Source organism: Homo sapiens, chromosome 9 (assembly GCF_000001405.40).
Source record: "Homo sapiens chromosome 9, GRCh38.p14 Primary Assembly".
Classification (NCBI taxonomy): Eukaryota; Metazoa; Chordata; class Mammalia; order Primates; family Hominidae; genus Homo; species Homo sapiens.
The window spans coordinates 3896842-3913677 of NC_000009.12; the positions used below are offsets into that span (position 1 = coordinate 3896842).

Below are 16836 nucleotides of genomic sequence, written 5' to 3' on the forward strand. Positions count from 1 at the left end.
TTAGGTATCCTTGCCCCTTAGGAGGCAAACCTACCACAGCCGGAGGCTCTAATTCCAGAGCTCAAAATCTTTTTGAGGACCGAATATAGAATAGAGTCATGGACAAAAAGTGGACATTTGCTTGGAATGACAAAAACATTTCAAGCTGAACCTTAAAATATTTAAAACTCTAAAGCTTTAAAAACACTACCAGACATATAAAAACAGACACCAAGACAAATGTGACAGTTTCGAAAATGAGCCATATGCTGTATGCTACATACAACAAAGGTGCTAATGTTTTCCATAGATATGGATAGCATTGCTTCCCAAACCCATTTCTGAGAGGATTAAATACAGCCAGACTAGCCCATCACTAGAAACCATTTATATTGTATGTTAGGCCATTTTTCAATCACTTCTGGTTAGTGTTGACTGTTGACTATTGGGTTCCAGGTCTTAGTAAGATCATAGATTAATGAACTGAAGTAGTAGGGGAATGCTTTATAGGCTGTTTAAAATTGTTTGCTAATTTAATGTGCTGAAATAAATGTTCATATATCAAATACTGAACAAATCAGACACACAAAAACAAAAGCTAGTCATGGTTTTTCATATATATATATATATTTAATACAAAATATTTATGTATGTGTTGGTAACACTGCACATTGATATATTTGATGTCTGTATATGAACCTGTACCTGAAACCTCTGTAAGTTTGGTCAACCCTTCTTCGTCTCATCTCCCTGTGTCTCAAAAAGCAGAGGCTATGTTGTCCCCAACAGTAAGTGCTTAAAGCAACTGATAAAGGTCCAATGGGCCATGATTAAGGCCCAGTTTTGATGACTGATGCTCTTGCAATACTTGCTTACTGCCCTTTCTCTCTGCATCTGAATCAACTGAGAACTGTCAAATTTAAAACGTTGTACAAGGATGTCTTTCTCCCATTCCACTGCAATGCATCTGTAAATTTTAAATTCTAATGGCTTATTCATACTTTTCGAAAGAAAAAAACAGTCTGCTGCCAAACCTGGCTCTGGAATCAGATGGGGGTGGGGGTAGTATCTGCAACCCACAGAAAATAGAAAATTCTCATTGTCTGGAATGTGGAGCTGGTAAATCTTTTTTCTCATCTTCATAGCATGACTGTAAGAGTGTTCCATATGTAAGGACAATCACTAATTATGTTTGCATAAGTATATCACCATTACAGAGAGTAGAAAATGCATAAAAATCCAGGCTGAGTAAAAGAAAAATAACTTCCTTATGGTATATTAATCTTTTCTTATTTTTTTTGTTTTTTACTACATACATGTAATTTTCCAAATATAGTCACCTATTATTCAAACCTAGGCAGATGGAAGGTGGTCTGGGAGTGTCATCCCATCTCCTTTCCCACAATGGTTGGCAAACATGAATGAACATTCTTATAAGTTGGTTTGCTGATGTGAAAATTTCCTTAGAGACCTGGGGCTTCCTTTTAAAACATAAAGATGACAACAACTGTTTCATTAAGAAATCCACACGCAGCCTGCTACCTGCTTAAGGAGGAAACATTTCCTTCGAGTCTAAATCAAGTGAGTAAATGTAACATAACTGCGAGGGTTGGGTACACTGAATTTCTGGCAGAAGTCCATAACTAAAAGAGGTAATGCATTATTTTATTTTATTTCTTTATGAGAAAAAACAATCTGCTGCCACACCCAGCTCAGGAATCAGAAGGGGTGGAGAGCAATTTGCAGCCCATTGATAAAGAACAACACAGACGATCTTAGGAAAATTTTTCTCACGTGAGCATTCCTTTTAACCAGAGTAAAAGGCCTAAAAAAGGGTAGTTGTGGTTGGCTCTGCCTTTGCTGTCTTTACCTGAATAGAGGTCAGGCCCGGGTCCAGGGGAGCGTCCCACGGTCCCTTCAGCAGCAGCATCTCTAGGGGAAGTGGCCGGCTGCAGGGACTGCACGGTGAGGCAATCTGTGAGCAGGTCTGGATGGAGCTCTGTGCTGGACCGCAACTAAGAGGACAAAACGGAAGAGACATCGATAAGGAGAGCCGGTCCTTGGAATATTTTCCTGGGAAGGCATCATGCTCTATCAGTGCAACTCAGCCCACAAAAATTTATCAAGCAGCAACTACGGGTAAGGCACAGAGCTTAACAGAGTGTCAATAAAAGGATCAGTTCTCCAATCCTAATAACACCTGGCAAGAGCTTCTGGAAAAATGTGGCTAGAGGCGGATTTGACTTCAGTCCTTGATATTTCCACTTCTGGCAACTCAACTTCCTATTATACTTCCTTTTATTTGCTCCGTATCTTATCAGAACTTGTAACGATAACAACAACAAACTCAAGTAGATTTAGTCCATCTTGGAAAGTGCTTTTAAAATAGAAACACTGTCATGAAAACATCCCAGAGATGATTAAGAAATGCCCATTGAGATTTAACTCCTATAGATTTTCCATGAAAGGAAAATACTCAAGTTAAATTTTAATATATTATGGCATGATTCAAAGATAAAACAATGTGATTAACAGTAACAAAACTCCAACAGTCAGTTACATAAAAACAGAACAATTTAGATCTTATACATTAAAGAGTTACATGTAAAAAAAAAATCAAACAATAAAAAATGCTAAAATAAACTAGGTGAAAAGTTATCTGATCTTTTAATGAATAAGAATTTTTTAAGTGTAATTGAAATGGAAAAAAAAAACAATGTAAGATTTAGTGACATAAAAATATTAACGTTCTGCTTGTACAAAAACATAATACCTTAAAAGCAATCTAGAAATGTATTTGTTACAAATATTGCAAATGGTAATCATCTTTGGTATTTAAAGAGTGTGTGTATAAATGGATTTTATAAAGACAAGACTAAACCTTTAGATATAGAGCTAGAGTATGCTTATGCAGTCAACAAATATTTATTAAGTGTTTGTTACATACTTCTCTAGACCCTAGGAATACTGACTGCTTTTGTCAAAGTTAGACTCTAGATGGGGAAGCAGATGATGAACAAATAAAACATATACAACCTCAGATGGTGATAAATGCTATGGAGAAAAGTGATGCGGAGAAGCGAGACAGTGAGTAGGAATAAGGGGTGGCAGCTTTAGATAGGAGATCAAGGAAAGCCTCTTGAAGATGGCATTTATAAAAAGCTTTGAAAGAAGTGAGGAATAAGCCGTACAGACCTATGGGGGAAGAACCTGCCTACCCTGTGGTTGTGCGGAGAAGTAAGAGTCAAGCAGGGTGAGCCTGGGGCCTGGGGAAGAGAAATAGAAGATGAAACCAGAGATAAAAGGTGGGGAGGTGGAAATGGGAAGGAGACGTTGGATAAAGCCTTGACTTGAACAGAAACTGTTAAAAAAAAAAAAAAAAGGAGAAACAGAAATGATAATAAGCGTGAAAAATGTTTGCACACTTGCAAAGAAGTGCAATGTTAAAACGTCTTTTTACTTGCTGAATTATCAAAAACTTAAAAAAAAACAGTAATGAAGGTACAGTGAGAGAGGCATTGTTCAACAATGTTCATAGGAGTGAATATTGGTACAAACAGTCTAGATGGTATGTGGGAATATTTTTTCAAGGTCCATAATTGAAATAATTTGATTCTAGAACTTGTCTTAAGGAAATAGCCAGAGGTGTTAAAGAAGATTTGTACCCCCCCCAAAATATACACATATATATATAAAACAAATAGCATTATTTATAGCAATACCTAATCAGAAAATGTAACTTAAAATGTCTTAAATGTCCACAAATAGGGCTAATCAATGATTTTACCTCAATTTGATGGACTATTATGCAACCATTAAAATGGTATTCATGAACATAAAAGCAAAACTCAAAGTTTTATATATATACAAAATGATAATTACATAAAAATACACAGACAAAATATCAGAAAGTAATATAATTGAACATTACAACTGATTTTTGCTTTCAGTAGTACTATTATGAATTTATTTCCTTCCCTTTTTTAAAGTCCTTTCTTCTGCTTTCTGTAAGGTCCTCTGAACGGGCCACACCACGGTTGAGCCATTGTGACCCCTGCGACACACAGGTCCAGGCCTCCTGGAGTCACAAAGCTTTGAGCAACAGGAGAACCACTAAAGAAGAAGAAACAGCTAGCTCCTGCCTTAACTGATTAACCGAACTTGCAACATTCCACCATTGTGATATGTTCCTGCCCTACCCTAAATAATCAATCGGCCTTGTGATATCCTGCCATGTGAACTCCCTCCACCTCGTGACTACGCACCTTGTGACATTCTTCCCCTGCCCGAAAAGACTGCCCCAACTGTAACCTTCCACTACCTATCCCAAACCTATAAAACCAGTTCCACTCCCACCGCCCTTCGCTGACTCCCTTTTCAGACTCAGCCCGCTCGCACCGGAGTGAATAAACAGCCTTGTTGCTCACACTTAGCCTGTCTGGGTAGTCTCTTCAATTAGGCACGCGCTTAACACTTTCCAAATTTTCTACATTCAAATGATGTGCCAAAGCTGGCTCGCACCAATCTGAGGTGTCAATTTTGTGCGTCTTTTCCAAACTTTCCATGCAATGATGATAGACTGATAGCTTGAAATCGGTCATAGTGAAGTATTTACACCATGGAAATTGGCAATTCTACAAACAGGCTTTTTCCATCTAAAGAGCTGGTTGCTATACATTACCAGCACACCACTGGCAATGACGATGACCAAATTCTGATCAGAAAGAAAGACAAACACACACATACAACAGTAAGTTACTGTTTAGAGAGAAGTATTTCTTGGGTCTCAGAAAGCTTCATAAAGAGACAAATGCATGTCCAGGTCTTAGCCCAAGGATATGAAAGTGGCACAGTGACCCTAAATACAGGGAAGGGACATTTAACACAGGTAGTGACTGAGACATCACTTTGTTGTAATTTCCTCAGCTGTGGCACATTCCAGTCTCTGACCAGGACTCTCTGTATTAGTGCCTAACTAACTCTTTCAGGACCTTTGGAAGGTATGTTTGTTATTTTTGTACTAACCTAATACATGCCGTGTAAGAAAAACTGGAAAAAAAAATTCAAGGCTTGGAATGAGTTCTGGTGATCACTTTTAATTTATCTTCTATCATTAAAATATGATCTGGGGTCCACATGTTTTACCAAGGGCAGACATGGATGCTTTTCTGCTTTCTATTACCAACTACTCTAGGGTTTTATAGTTACCCGTACCAACGAGGTCTTTGCAAGGAATTTCACGGCTAGGGTTACTTCTGGCATCAAAGACGGGCAATTCTTTCTTAGCTTCACTAAATATTCATGTTTTCCAACAGTGTGAGTCCATACAACTTTGTGGTGAGAGTTAATTTGGTTTTCTCTGGGATTAGGCATGGTTCTAGAAAGGGCTTCTTAAATTGAACAAGCTTAGGAACCTTAAGTAAAATTTCCAAAGGAGAGCCGTATGCATAGAAACGCAGTCATGATATGGAAGTGTAGTGTCCCTCACAGATCTTCAGACCAGGAAAGGGGCTTTCAGATCCCTTAAGGTTTTTAAACATTCTCTAGTACAGGAATGATCTAAAGGGTGAGGCAGGAGGCACATAGCAGAATCTCTTGGGAGGGGTGTCTTTCAATGTAACATAGTTTTATATTTGGAATAAGAAGCCCAACTATTTATTTAAAAAACTGCATAATGTATATTTTACCAACATCTTCTTAGCTGTCAGGAATAGTTAAAGAAGATAGAGGGAAATTTTTCAGTGACAGGAGGGAGGGTCTTTACTTGTGGTTCCCAATCTTGGGGATGTATCAGAATCACCTGCAGCGCCCCACCCCAGAGCTGCTCATTCAGTAGGTCTGCGATGCGTTTCTAAGTTCCCAGGTGATGATGCTTCTACTGGTCTTGGGATTTCACTCTTGGAACCACTAGTCTCTAAGAATTTTTATGAGGAGAAACTAATAGTTTTCTGTTTATGGAAAGAGGAAATGAACTGTGGAAACAGCGAATTATAAAAACCTAGCATTTTTAAATATAGGAACAGAAACCTTACTATCTCATCTTCCTTGATCAACTGTGACGAATAAAGATCTTTCTGAAGTAGTGACTTTGGGCATCTAGTTAGCAGATACTAGGAAAAGTCACAGGAGGAGAGGATACCTACAAATGCTAGGAATGTCTGCAAGTCATTGGACTTGGAGATACTGGGAAGGTAAGTTCCAACTTATGCAGGGATGAATATGTCATGTTTTGTAGCTTGTTGTCATCATAAAATATCTTGGCAATTTTCTAAGAAGCCTCCTTGGGACATCTGGACCTTAAAAGTTTATGTTATCTCCTGTGAGAAGTAACCATTAAGCCCAGGGCCATAAACGCGAAGAAATTCTTAAATTTCCTATATAACACATCTGACTTTCTTCAGACCTCATAATAATACATGGTTAAATGAGGCTCATTTCTTAAAAACAACTTGGATTGTATTTTCTTTCACAGGGATAAAAAAGGTTAAAAAATTTCAGTCTAGTTTATTACCTGCTGTTAGCAGAGAGCAAAGAACTTGCCCTTTACAAAGCCTTGACTGCTCTTTGCGGAGAAAAGTGGAATTTGAAACCACTGATTGTCAATTCACCTATTTCAAAGGACTGCCGTGTTGCATGACACCAAGGACCTTTGTTCACATTGTAATCTATGTGAACGGCGTTCCTGGAATCATTCAGCTCAGCTGCCCTAACCACACTCCATTGGTTCCAGAGTGGCTCTGCCCTGATGTATCCTTCTCATTCATTTGTCGAACAAATATTTATTGGGCCTCAACCATATGCCAGGCACTGTTCTAGGGGCCAGAAATACAACAGCAATCAAAACAAAGACTCCTTCAGAGAAGTTTACATTCTAGAGAAGTCAGATAATAAACAGTAAACTAACTAAATAAATTGTAGAGAAGGTGCCAAGTGCTATGGAAAAAAGAAAAAGAAGATAAAGGTAGATGAGATTGGGAGTGATAGGGGGAATTTTGACCTTTTTGAGAAGAGATATTTGAGGAAAGACTTGAGGAGTTGGAGAAATTAGCTAAGGATGAAGAGCAAGAGAGTTCCAGAAGGAGGGAATTTCAAGGAGGTCAGCATGGCTGGGGTGGGGTGTAACACTGAGAGAGAAGGAAGAAATGAGGTCTGAGGTCACCCTGCATTCCCCAATAAGTCTCTTAGTCTTGGTACAATAGGAAACTCTTACAGGGGCTCCACCATAAATATCCACAGTCTCATAGGCACTTTGTCTCCCCTTCTTTGAGAGCCCATATGAGCTGTGAGGTGTGACTACTGTGCTGGTTAGTTTTAGGTGTTAACGTGCTAGACTTTAGTATCCAGTTATTCAATCACTCATCTAGGTGTGTGACTGCTGTACTGTGGAATTCTCTTGATGGGCTTAACATCTACAGTCAGTTGACTTTAAAAACAGAAGATTATCCCCTACAATCTGGGCAAGACTCATCCAATCAGTGAAAAGCCTGAAGAGCAAAAGAAACTAAAGTTTCACTAAAAAAAGAATAAATTCTGCCTCTGGAATGCAGCATCAGTTCTTGCCCAAGAGTTTTCGGCCTGCCCTACAAATTTCTGACTTGTCAGCCCCCATAATCTCAGAAGCCAATTTCTTGAAATTATTATCTCTCTCCACACTCCTACACACATAATATATAGATATTTATCTTGGTGAGTCTCTTTTTCTGGAGAACCCTGACTGATACAGATACTATTACAATGTGCTTTAAAACCACTACCATATGACCGTTTGTTTCAGGTCAGGAAGGAGAAAGCATCGTGCGGTTGAATCCCACAGAAAAGGGCTGGATGTGCATAGTCAACAGGAAGCACTTTTAAACACTGCATTTCAATTAAATAAATATACACCAATCTCTACAGTGTGTTGGATACTGTGTGCCTCACAACTCTATGGAGTACATACTATTGTGACTTCCACTGTAGAGATGAGAAATCTAAAATAAATTACACAGCTACTAAATGTCAGGCTTGGATTTCGGTGTGTTAGAGGGAATCCCAAATTATGCTCTCAGACATTACATTATACTGGCTCATAAAACAGCCCACCCCCAACTTTCTCCTTGTGTCCACACCACACTACACTGCACAGGCTAACACAGTTTCTCTTCCTCTTATGACTCTTTTTTTTTTTTTTGAGACGGAGTCTTGCTCTGTCTCCCAGGCCGGAGTGCAGTGGCGCGATCTCGGCTCACTGCAAGCTCTGCCTCCCAGGTTCATGCCATTCTCCTGCCTCAGCCTCCCGAGTAGCTGGGACTATAGGCGCCTGCCGCCACGCCCGGTTAAATTTTTTTCTTTTTTTTTTTTTTGCTATTTTTAGTAGAGATGGGGTTTCACCATGTTAGCTAGGATAGTCTTGATCTCCTGACCTTGTGATCCGTCCGCCTCGGCCTCCCAAAGTGCTGGGATTACAGGCATGAGCCACTGAGCCCCGCCTGACTCTTTGATATTCTAGCCGGAAGCCTGTCATTCAGAGCTTGTTCTAGGAGGGAAAGAACCTGGGTAGCCAAGTTCTCTGGAAAAGTCTCTAGCATACCTTATCACCACTGTGTATATTCTGACACCATGCCCTTTAGGGAAAGCGGTCTTTGTTGGAGTAGAGATTGAAGCAATAAAACAGAATGGACCACTTCTGTTTGGTTTTCACTGTCCCCTCCCCTGCAGGTTTGTCACTTGGTTGCATCCTGGCCTAGTAACATGAATGCCTGCAATTGACAAAAATAAAGCATGGTGCTCATCATTCCTCACCATTTGCATCCTAAGCACACACACAGTGGTCCCAGGGCCCCGTCTCCTTTCCCTTGACGATCACCCCTGGTTCTCAGGATGGGGCACTGTCATGGTAACTTTCTGATCCTGAATGAGATGATCTTGACCCAGGGAGTCACTGAACTCAGTATCCCTTGCTAAGACAGGATACCTCCCTTTACTCTTTCTCCTGATTCTGACTTCCTTCCCTTTCTCTTCCTCTTCCCCATTCTTCCACTGTCATTTTTTTGGTCCTCACTCCTTCCAGAGAGCTCAGTCATACTCTGTAGGGATGATGCACACCTCTATCTACATGCTCCCCACATGCTATTCTAGATGTGGAGGTCAGGGAAGGCCTCTGTAGACTGGACATTCTGGGCTGAAACCTGAATGAAGCGATGGAGCAAGATATGGAGAAAGGCATGAAATCTACCGAGGAAACAAACTGATGGGTTCTGAAAACAGTCATTGGAGAGGAGTGAGCAAGGGAGCAAGAGGAAGGGTGCAGGATGCAGGGCTGGACAAATTGCCAGAGGTCAGATCATGTGAGGCCTTCAAGCACATGAAGATTCCGTATTTGCTTTCCTTGTAATGGTGAACCACTGGAAGTGTGTAAGCAGGAAACAAAGTGGTTTATCTTATAAAAGATTCACTCTGATTACTGTGCAGAATACCGGAAGAGGACAAGTGTGTCTGGTTAGGGGCTATTACAACAATCTGGATGAAAGATGCCAACGGCTTGAGGGAACCAGAGGGGGTGAGAAGTGGTCCAGCTGAATTGCTCGACCTTCAAAAGTGCTCTTTCGAAGGTCGAGCTGAATTCACTGTGTAATATGAGAGAAACACAGGAGCCAAGCATGGCCTTAAGTTTTGGCCCGAGGAACAGCAAAGGAGATCACAGAAGGAGCAGGTTGGAGGTAAATCAGCAATTTGGTTTTGAATGTGTTAACACTGAGATGACTCCTGGACATCCAGGCGGAGAGAACCTGCAGGTACCTGCACACAGAGGGTGGGTTCACAGAGCACGATGGGGCCGGACCACGAATACCAACTCCTTGCTGCATTTCTGCCTCAGGCTCTCGTCTCTCACCAATCCATCCTGTGATATCAAATGGACTCTCCTAAAATTGAGTTTATCGTGCTATACTCAAGGTACAAATATCTTCATGTACTGCTTAACACGCAAGTCTCAAAAGGCTAAGACATTAAGCACCTCCATACTGTGACTGTACCACGTACCATAAATGCATATTTCCCTGGGTCCTGAAAAGAGCCTATCTCACTGTCTGCAAACTTCCCACGTAGCATACTATTCATTCTTCCTGCCCGGAACGGACTCCCTCCTCCTAATGTAACTCCTCCAAGATCCTGTTTATGACTCACCTCCTGAATGAAACCTCCCCTGACCAGACCAGTCCACACTGGGCCTCTCAGGGTACAAGAAGAACTGCAGAATCCACTTTCAACACTCCCCTGACCAGACCAGTCCACACTGCGCCTCTCAGGGTACAAGAAGAACTGCAGAATCCACTTTCAACACTCCTGTGATTGGACATGTGCACTGGGGCTTTGTTTCTTGTTATAAATTTAATCTGTACAATTGTGTTGGTCAGTCCACGAGGGCTAGGCTGACTGCCTCTTAATCTTTTAAAACTCCACAGCAGCCAGCAGTGTGGGACCAGCATCATGGTAAATCATTTAATCACTAACTGCCGATTGGATTTCTAAGAAGGAGCCACAATTCTTTATGTAAAGGAAGCTACAATCTCCTAGTTAGTGAATATGTCTAAAATAGACAACGTGATCCTTTCGTAATTTACTTTCCTAATGGAGAATTTTCAAAGATTACAGGTGATATAAATGTGGCAGAAACTACTGATGCCCCACCCAGCGCCCCTCTGATCCCTTCGATTAGCAATGTGCTGCCGCCCCTCAGCTTTGGTGTGTCCGTGCCCCAGTTTCTGTGTACTTTAGAGCCAATGGCTAGCATCCTCCACCCCCCAAACACACACACACACACACAGACACACACACACACACACACACACACACACTACTAAACAGTGCTCCTTTGCCTCAAAGTGAGACAAATGCTGAGACGTTATGTTCCAGAGCTCCCTGTGGGATTGGGCTAGGCTGAGACTACCTGAATTGGCACCCATGCCTTGCTTTTTCCCCTTTCCCCATCCTCTCCTGAGTTCTCTTGCAAGTGCGTCCTTCATAAATCACATGCACCTGAATCCTTGGCTCACAGTGGGCTTGTGGGGAAGGCATTCTAAACTTACTCTGATTTGGTTCAAGAATGTCGAGAGGCAATCAGCAGCACTTAAAAAGATGCTCTGATGAGATTCATTCATTTCTCTCCTGTACCTGCTTTGCCAACTTTGTACAGCAGGAGTATGGAAAGTAGATGTTTAATGAAAGTGGGGTGTTCTGAACCATCCCGGATAATACCAAAAGCCTAAGTGTGGAGACTAAATTAAAACTAAGACCTTAATTTGCCAGAACAATAAGGACTGAAAGGGGCTTCAGATGTCACTGTGTCCAAACCTCCATCTTATGCCCAACTTCCCTGACAGCAACCTGTAAGTGGCTTGTCAGTCTTTGCTGCTTGTTACTGTATAGTAAGGGGCAACGTCCTCATCTTGGTTGTTAGCTGCAATTTTAGACAGCTCCAGTTGTCAAAAAGACTTTTTGTACATTGAGTCCTAATCTAACCCTCAGAAACTATTAGAATTGCTTGAATCCTTTTATTCTTACACCTGCAGGAAGGCTCATGGACATAGACTTGTGACAACTCCAAGGCTCGGAAACCAATTTGTGAGCCTCTGAGTGTTAGTGATTCTGATCTTCAAGGAACTATTTTAGGGCTTAATTTCCCAACCTATCCAGTTGCAAGTAAACAAGTTGGCTCCTTCATTTTTATACAATCTCCCATTATGAAATATTTGTTTAAAATGATAGTTTTTCAACCTTACTAGTGAAATCACCTATCAAGGTTTGACAAGGTTACTGCATGCCGAAATTTGAGCTGCTTCCCTAACAATGCGGGGATTTTTTTCTAATCTATAAAAACAAGGCACCATCAATTGTGATTTGTATTTGTTTTTTTTTTTTTTTTTTTTTTGTACAGGATTATTCTGTTAATGTTTATAAGCCCTTGTAACAAGAGATGGAAATTTTACTCCCGTCATTTTCTCATTTCAGATATGACTGAATAATCGTCCAAGATTAAGTGAGTCAAGTGGAAATAATTAGGAAAGGGAAAAAGGCCCAGATTCTTCAATTTTCAGTTCCATTACATTTTATTCTAGGAGCAAAGGCATTCTGTTAGTCTGAAGCAAGACACACTTCCAAAGAAAACGAGGCACAATCAAAGGCCTTTTGTTTTCCCTGTCTCCAATGAGCACAGTCCATCTGGGCCACGCATGTTTATGCATCACCTTGTAGGGATCCCTTTGTTCTCCAGAAATCAAATGCCACCAAAATATGTTCCAGAAGAAACGAAGCCAGAAGGAAAGACAGTAGGATTTTTTCCCCAGAGGGTTAAGGTTTATTACTAGAACATTCTCATCAAGTGTTCTCTGTGACACTTCAAGCAATGTGGATCTTGTGGAATTAACTCATTGCCAAAAGGCTTAAAAATAATTACAATGAATTAACCTATTATATTAATTACAATTAATTTTCAGTTGAACCTAGGAATTCCATCTCTAGGGGATTCCTTAGCACTGACATGTAGGAAGTGGCTTTGGCATATGATAGGTAATTAATCTCTAACAATCTGCTATCAAATTCATTTCCTTTAGGAATGACCAATTTGCAAAGAGGACCAATTTGCAAAGAGAAATGAGAGTAAAGACTTAGAGAAACGGCATTGGAAGGAATCTCTTTGGGAACAGAAGTGTCCAGTTGGGTGTTCTGAACATCTGTATAGGGGATACCTATTTAGTTAGCAGTGACTCCAAAGGCCCAAAATTGTATCCATAGCTGATTAATGAGCACTCCAAAATACGTGAATGGGTACACATGCTGGGGTATAGCTCAATAAGATCATGAAAAATCAGTGTCAGTATGGACACAACAAAACTAATGATTATTTAGTAAGAAATGATGATTTATGGAAATTGTTCAAAGAAACATAGAATTTCAGAGCAAAAAGGAACTAGGGTCCAAAAGCCTTTCCTGTCAACTCTGTAGCAACACTATCCAGTTGAAATTTCTGTGACGATGGAAAGGTTCTGCACTGCACTAATTGATAGCCACTAGCCATGTGTGACTAATGAGCATTTGAAGTGTGGCTAATGCAACTGAGGAACTTTTAATTTTATTTAATTTTAATTAAATTTAAACTTATAGTAATGAAGTGCACAGCACTACTGCATACCATGGTAGCAGTCCAGCCTTTGTCTAAATCCTTTTGATGACAGGGAACATCCTTCCTTACCATTAAGCACCCTCCATTTAGAAAGAGTGCTTCAGAGCTCATCATTTAAAAAGTTTTGCTTCAAGTTGAACTATAATCTGCCAACTACAGATCCACCCCCCTGTGGTTTACTCCTCACCTCCTCTCCTAGACCACACAGAATAACTGCTCACAGTCTCTTACTGTTTTTTAGTATTTGAGAAGCTTCAAAATGCTGTAGTATCATAGAATTTCAGCCATGGAAGGGGCATGGTTTAGCTTCTTTGTTGAACCTCCCCTCTTAGTGGGTTTTTCTCTAGGCTGAAAAAATTTTGTTTTGTTATTTATTTATTTATTTATTTTGAGACAGTCTTGTTCTGTCACCCAGGATGGAGTGCTGTGGCACAAACATGACTCACTGCAGCCTCAATTTCCTGGGTTTGAGCAATCCTCTTGCTTCAGCCTCCTAAGTAGCTGAGACCACAGGCATGGGCCACCACATCCAGCTAATTTTCAATAATTTTTTCAGAGACAGGGTCTCACCATGTTGCTCAGGCTAGTCTCAAATTCCTGGACTCAAGCAATCTTCCCACTTTGGCTTCCCAAGGTGCTGAGATTACAGAGGCAGGCCAAGTTTTTTATACAGGTAAGAGGACACTTAGGTGGAAAGAGCTTGAGGCTTTTAGTTCAACTACCATGTGATACTGGGCAAGTATATTCACTTTCCTGAGTAGAGTTTCCTTTCTGTAAAATAAGGATAATACCATTTAGTGATCTTGGCTACTTTGAGAACTAAATCAGATAAGACAGAGAAAGCATCTAACACTGCTTGACACACAGAAGTCACTTACTAAAACATCAGTCCCTGCTCTCTCATATAACATGTTATTCCATTCAGCACCTTAATTACTCTCAATACAGAAGCTCAATGGCCTACATGTAAATGACATCCAAATATTAACAGAGTTAACCAGCTGTCTGACCAGGACAGAATAAATACAACAGAACAAACATATCCCTTATTCTAGACTTTCTGTCTCTACTCATACAACCTAAATAGTTAATAGCTTTTTAAAATCCATCTTCCTTCCTTTCTTCCTTCCTTCCTTCCTTCCTTTCCTTTCTTCCTTCCTCCCTTCCTTCCGCACTATTTCTTGATTCTGTACCATGTACCCCAAACTACGCTAGGCCCAGGAGATAAAGTAGTACATAAGACAATTGAAGTTCCCTGCTCTCACAGAGTTTACAGTGTGGCATGAATAAAAATCATCATCAAGTAAAATCCTTAGATCTTTTTCCATATGTTACGCTCTTTGTTTCTGATGGCTCTTTATCCTGGGAGGCTACCTTTCTAAAGCTGCATTGCTGTTGAGTGGTACAGAACCTCTTCTTGGCTACATTCAACTCAAGCACTCGGCTGGCTACCATGTACCCTTCTTCAGTGCCTTGTGAAAACTTGATTAAAACATCATCTGGCATTAAGGATGATGGTAAATGTCTGCCCCAAACTAAGTTATCTAAAAAAATTGTCTCTACCCTATGAATTACACTACAACATTAGTAACCACTTATAATAGCCTATCCACAATATGGATCATAAAATATAAGACCCAGACTACGTGGAGTTGAATTTTTGTATCCTTACTGATGAAATATTAGACAACTGTGAGAAAGTTGTTTAACATTTCTTTACCTTAGTTTTCTTTGTAAGATGTGGATAATAATGGCACCTAATTTATAAGGCTGTTGTTAGGGATAACATGAGATAAGAAAGCATTTCACCAATACCTGATATATAATCAATGTTAAACACATGCTGCCATTTCTATTATTATTTTTATTAACATTCAGTGTAGAAGCACTGTTATCACTCCGTAACATGCACTCCTGTTTTCCTTTTTCTCCAACCCACTTTTTGGGATATATTTTCTCTTTATCAACTTTTTCCTTTTGTGTACCATAGTGTGGCGACATGGCAAGAGGAAAAGGATGGAGACTTCGGGGTCAAATAGATACAGGTTCATATCTCAGCTCTGCCCCTACTGCTATGTGGCCTTTGGTAAGATAACCTCTCAAGACTTCAGAACCTTCCTCTGTAAAATGGAGTGATAACATTAACTCCGTAGGCTTGTAACAGAATTACATGAGGTGACCTAAGGACAATGGCTCTTGTTGCATAAAATTAATTTTCTTTTTTACTCAAGAAGAGGCTATTGCGTACGTTAAGAGTGAGACCTTTCTTAGTAACTCACTGGGCTCTTGCTTATTAGCCTCAGAACTAGCGTCCCGGGGCAGTCTCCTAATCAAGATATGAGCACAGTTTTCCAGGATGCATAGCGCCCTGGAATTATTCTATCTCAGGAGAATGTAGCCAGTGTTCACCCTCTTGGAAGAGACTAAAACATATTAGAAACCAGAACCCACAACAAAACTTTTTAGAACACTCCGGGAATGTTAATACTTCATTTAGATGTCCTTTTACCAAAATCTGTCCCACTATCTAGCTATGCTGGACAGAGTTGGGGAGCTGAGGTTCAAAAGGATGTTGAAATCAGAAAGGCATGCAACTTGTAATTTTTGTATTGTTACATTTGTAAAAACATAATTTTCTTCCTAAGTCAATATTTTTCTAAAACTGACATTGAGAATCTTACATTTTTTTCTAGCTAGAAAATGATACACAAATGACACACTCAAAGGTGAATTCAAGCTTCATTCAGAGGTACGTCTTAAAAGCAGAAGACTAAACTGAAGAATGCATTCTTCTTTTTTTAGAAAAACAGAGAAATGTTAATACGGAATTTCACTTTGCCATGAAAAACATCCCCCTTCACCCTTTGGGGCCTGGTTATGGAGTTGTGAAGACTCAAAGCAAGATGAAGGGTTTACTTTTATCACAGCTTCATAAATTCCTCTGACACTGGTTCATTGCACTAATGTGACCACACACATTCCATCCCATCCATTCAAGTGTAGCATTTTTCTTTCTATTCAAGTATTCTCAGGGTTTAATTAAAGCAGCCAGCTATCTAGTAATTACTTCCCCCATCCATCTTACCAGCTCCGTATTGTCTTCCCTTGAATTGGTTTCTCGCTACAGCCCCTGCCTATGTTACAGCTTAGGAAGTGTGGGGAGGGACTCACTGTAAAAGTCAGTGGATCTCATTTTCTTCTGCCTTTCATTTAATTAAAACAGATTGAGTGAAGAAGATTTAAGGCTGATTTTCATGTGCAGGAGTATTTGGACAATTTTAAAAATACCTACTTCTAAAAGTTGAAGACTGTCGTTTCAATGGAGAGCACTTGCTTTTTGCTCTCCCATCCATTCTATACTCAACAGTCAGTATAGTTTTTCTCCTCGTTCAAAGCCCTTTAGTGACTCTCCCCTAAACATTACCTACAGCTCAAATTCATGGGCTTTAACATGCTGGCTCTCACCTAGCTTCGTGTGGCTTCATGTCCCATGATGGAGGTCACACAGAGCCAAGACATTCCTGTAATCTTTGTTTATTCTCATTCATGTCTCATGCTGTACTTCTGGCCACAAACCTCCCTCATCTGGAGTCCCCTTTTCTCTGGACTCTACGTATCTACAATAAATTCTGCATATTCTCCAAGGTCCAATTCAATGTCACTTGTCCCTTGAAGTTTTCCCAGCCTTTCCATTCCAA

General features: G+C 40.2%; 1 protein-coding gene and 1 long non-coding RNA gene across 13 annotated transcripts in view; one reads left to right on the forward strand and one right to left on the reverse strand.

Annotated features, from left to right (window-relative positions):
* Positions 1-16836, reverse strand: part of GLIS3 (GLIS family zinc finger 3) — a 666339-nt gene that overhangs the window by 72715 nt on the left and 576788 nt on the right. For all 12 annotated transcript variants that reach the window (XM_047422890.1, XM_011517763.3, NM_001438912.1 and 9 more), the window contains one exon: positions 1850-1994. In XM_047422890.1, coding sequence (XP_047278846.1) covers positions 1850-1994 — 145 coding nt within the window. The remainder of the gene's footprint in view (positions 1-1849; positions 1995-16836) is intronic.
* Positions 1805-4407, forward strand: GLIS3-AS1 (GLIS3 antisense RNA 1). Its single transcript, NR_026663.1, has 2 exons — positions 1805-2118; positions 3992-4407. It is a non-coding gene; the product is annotated as a GLIS3 antisense RNA 1 (long non-coding RNA).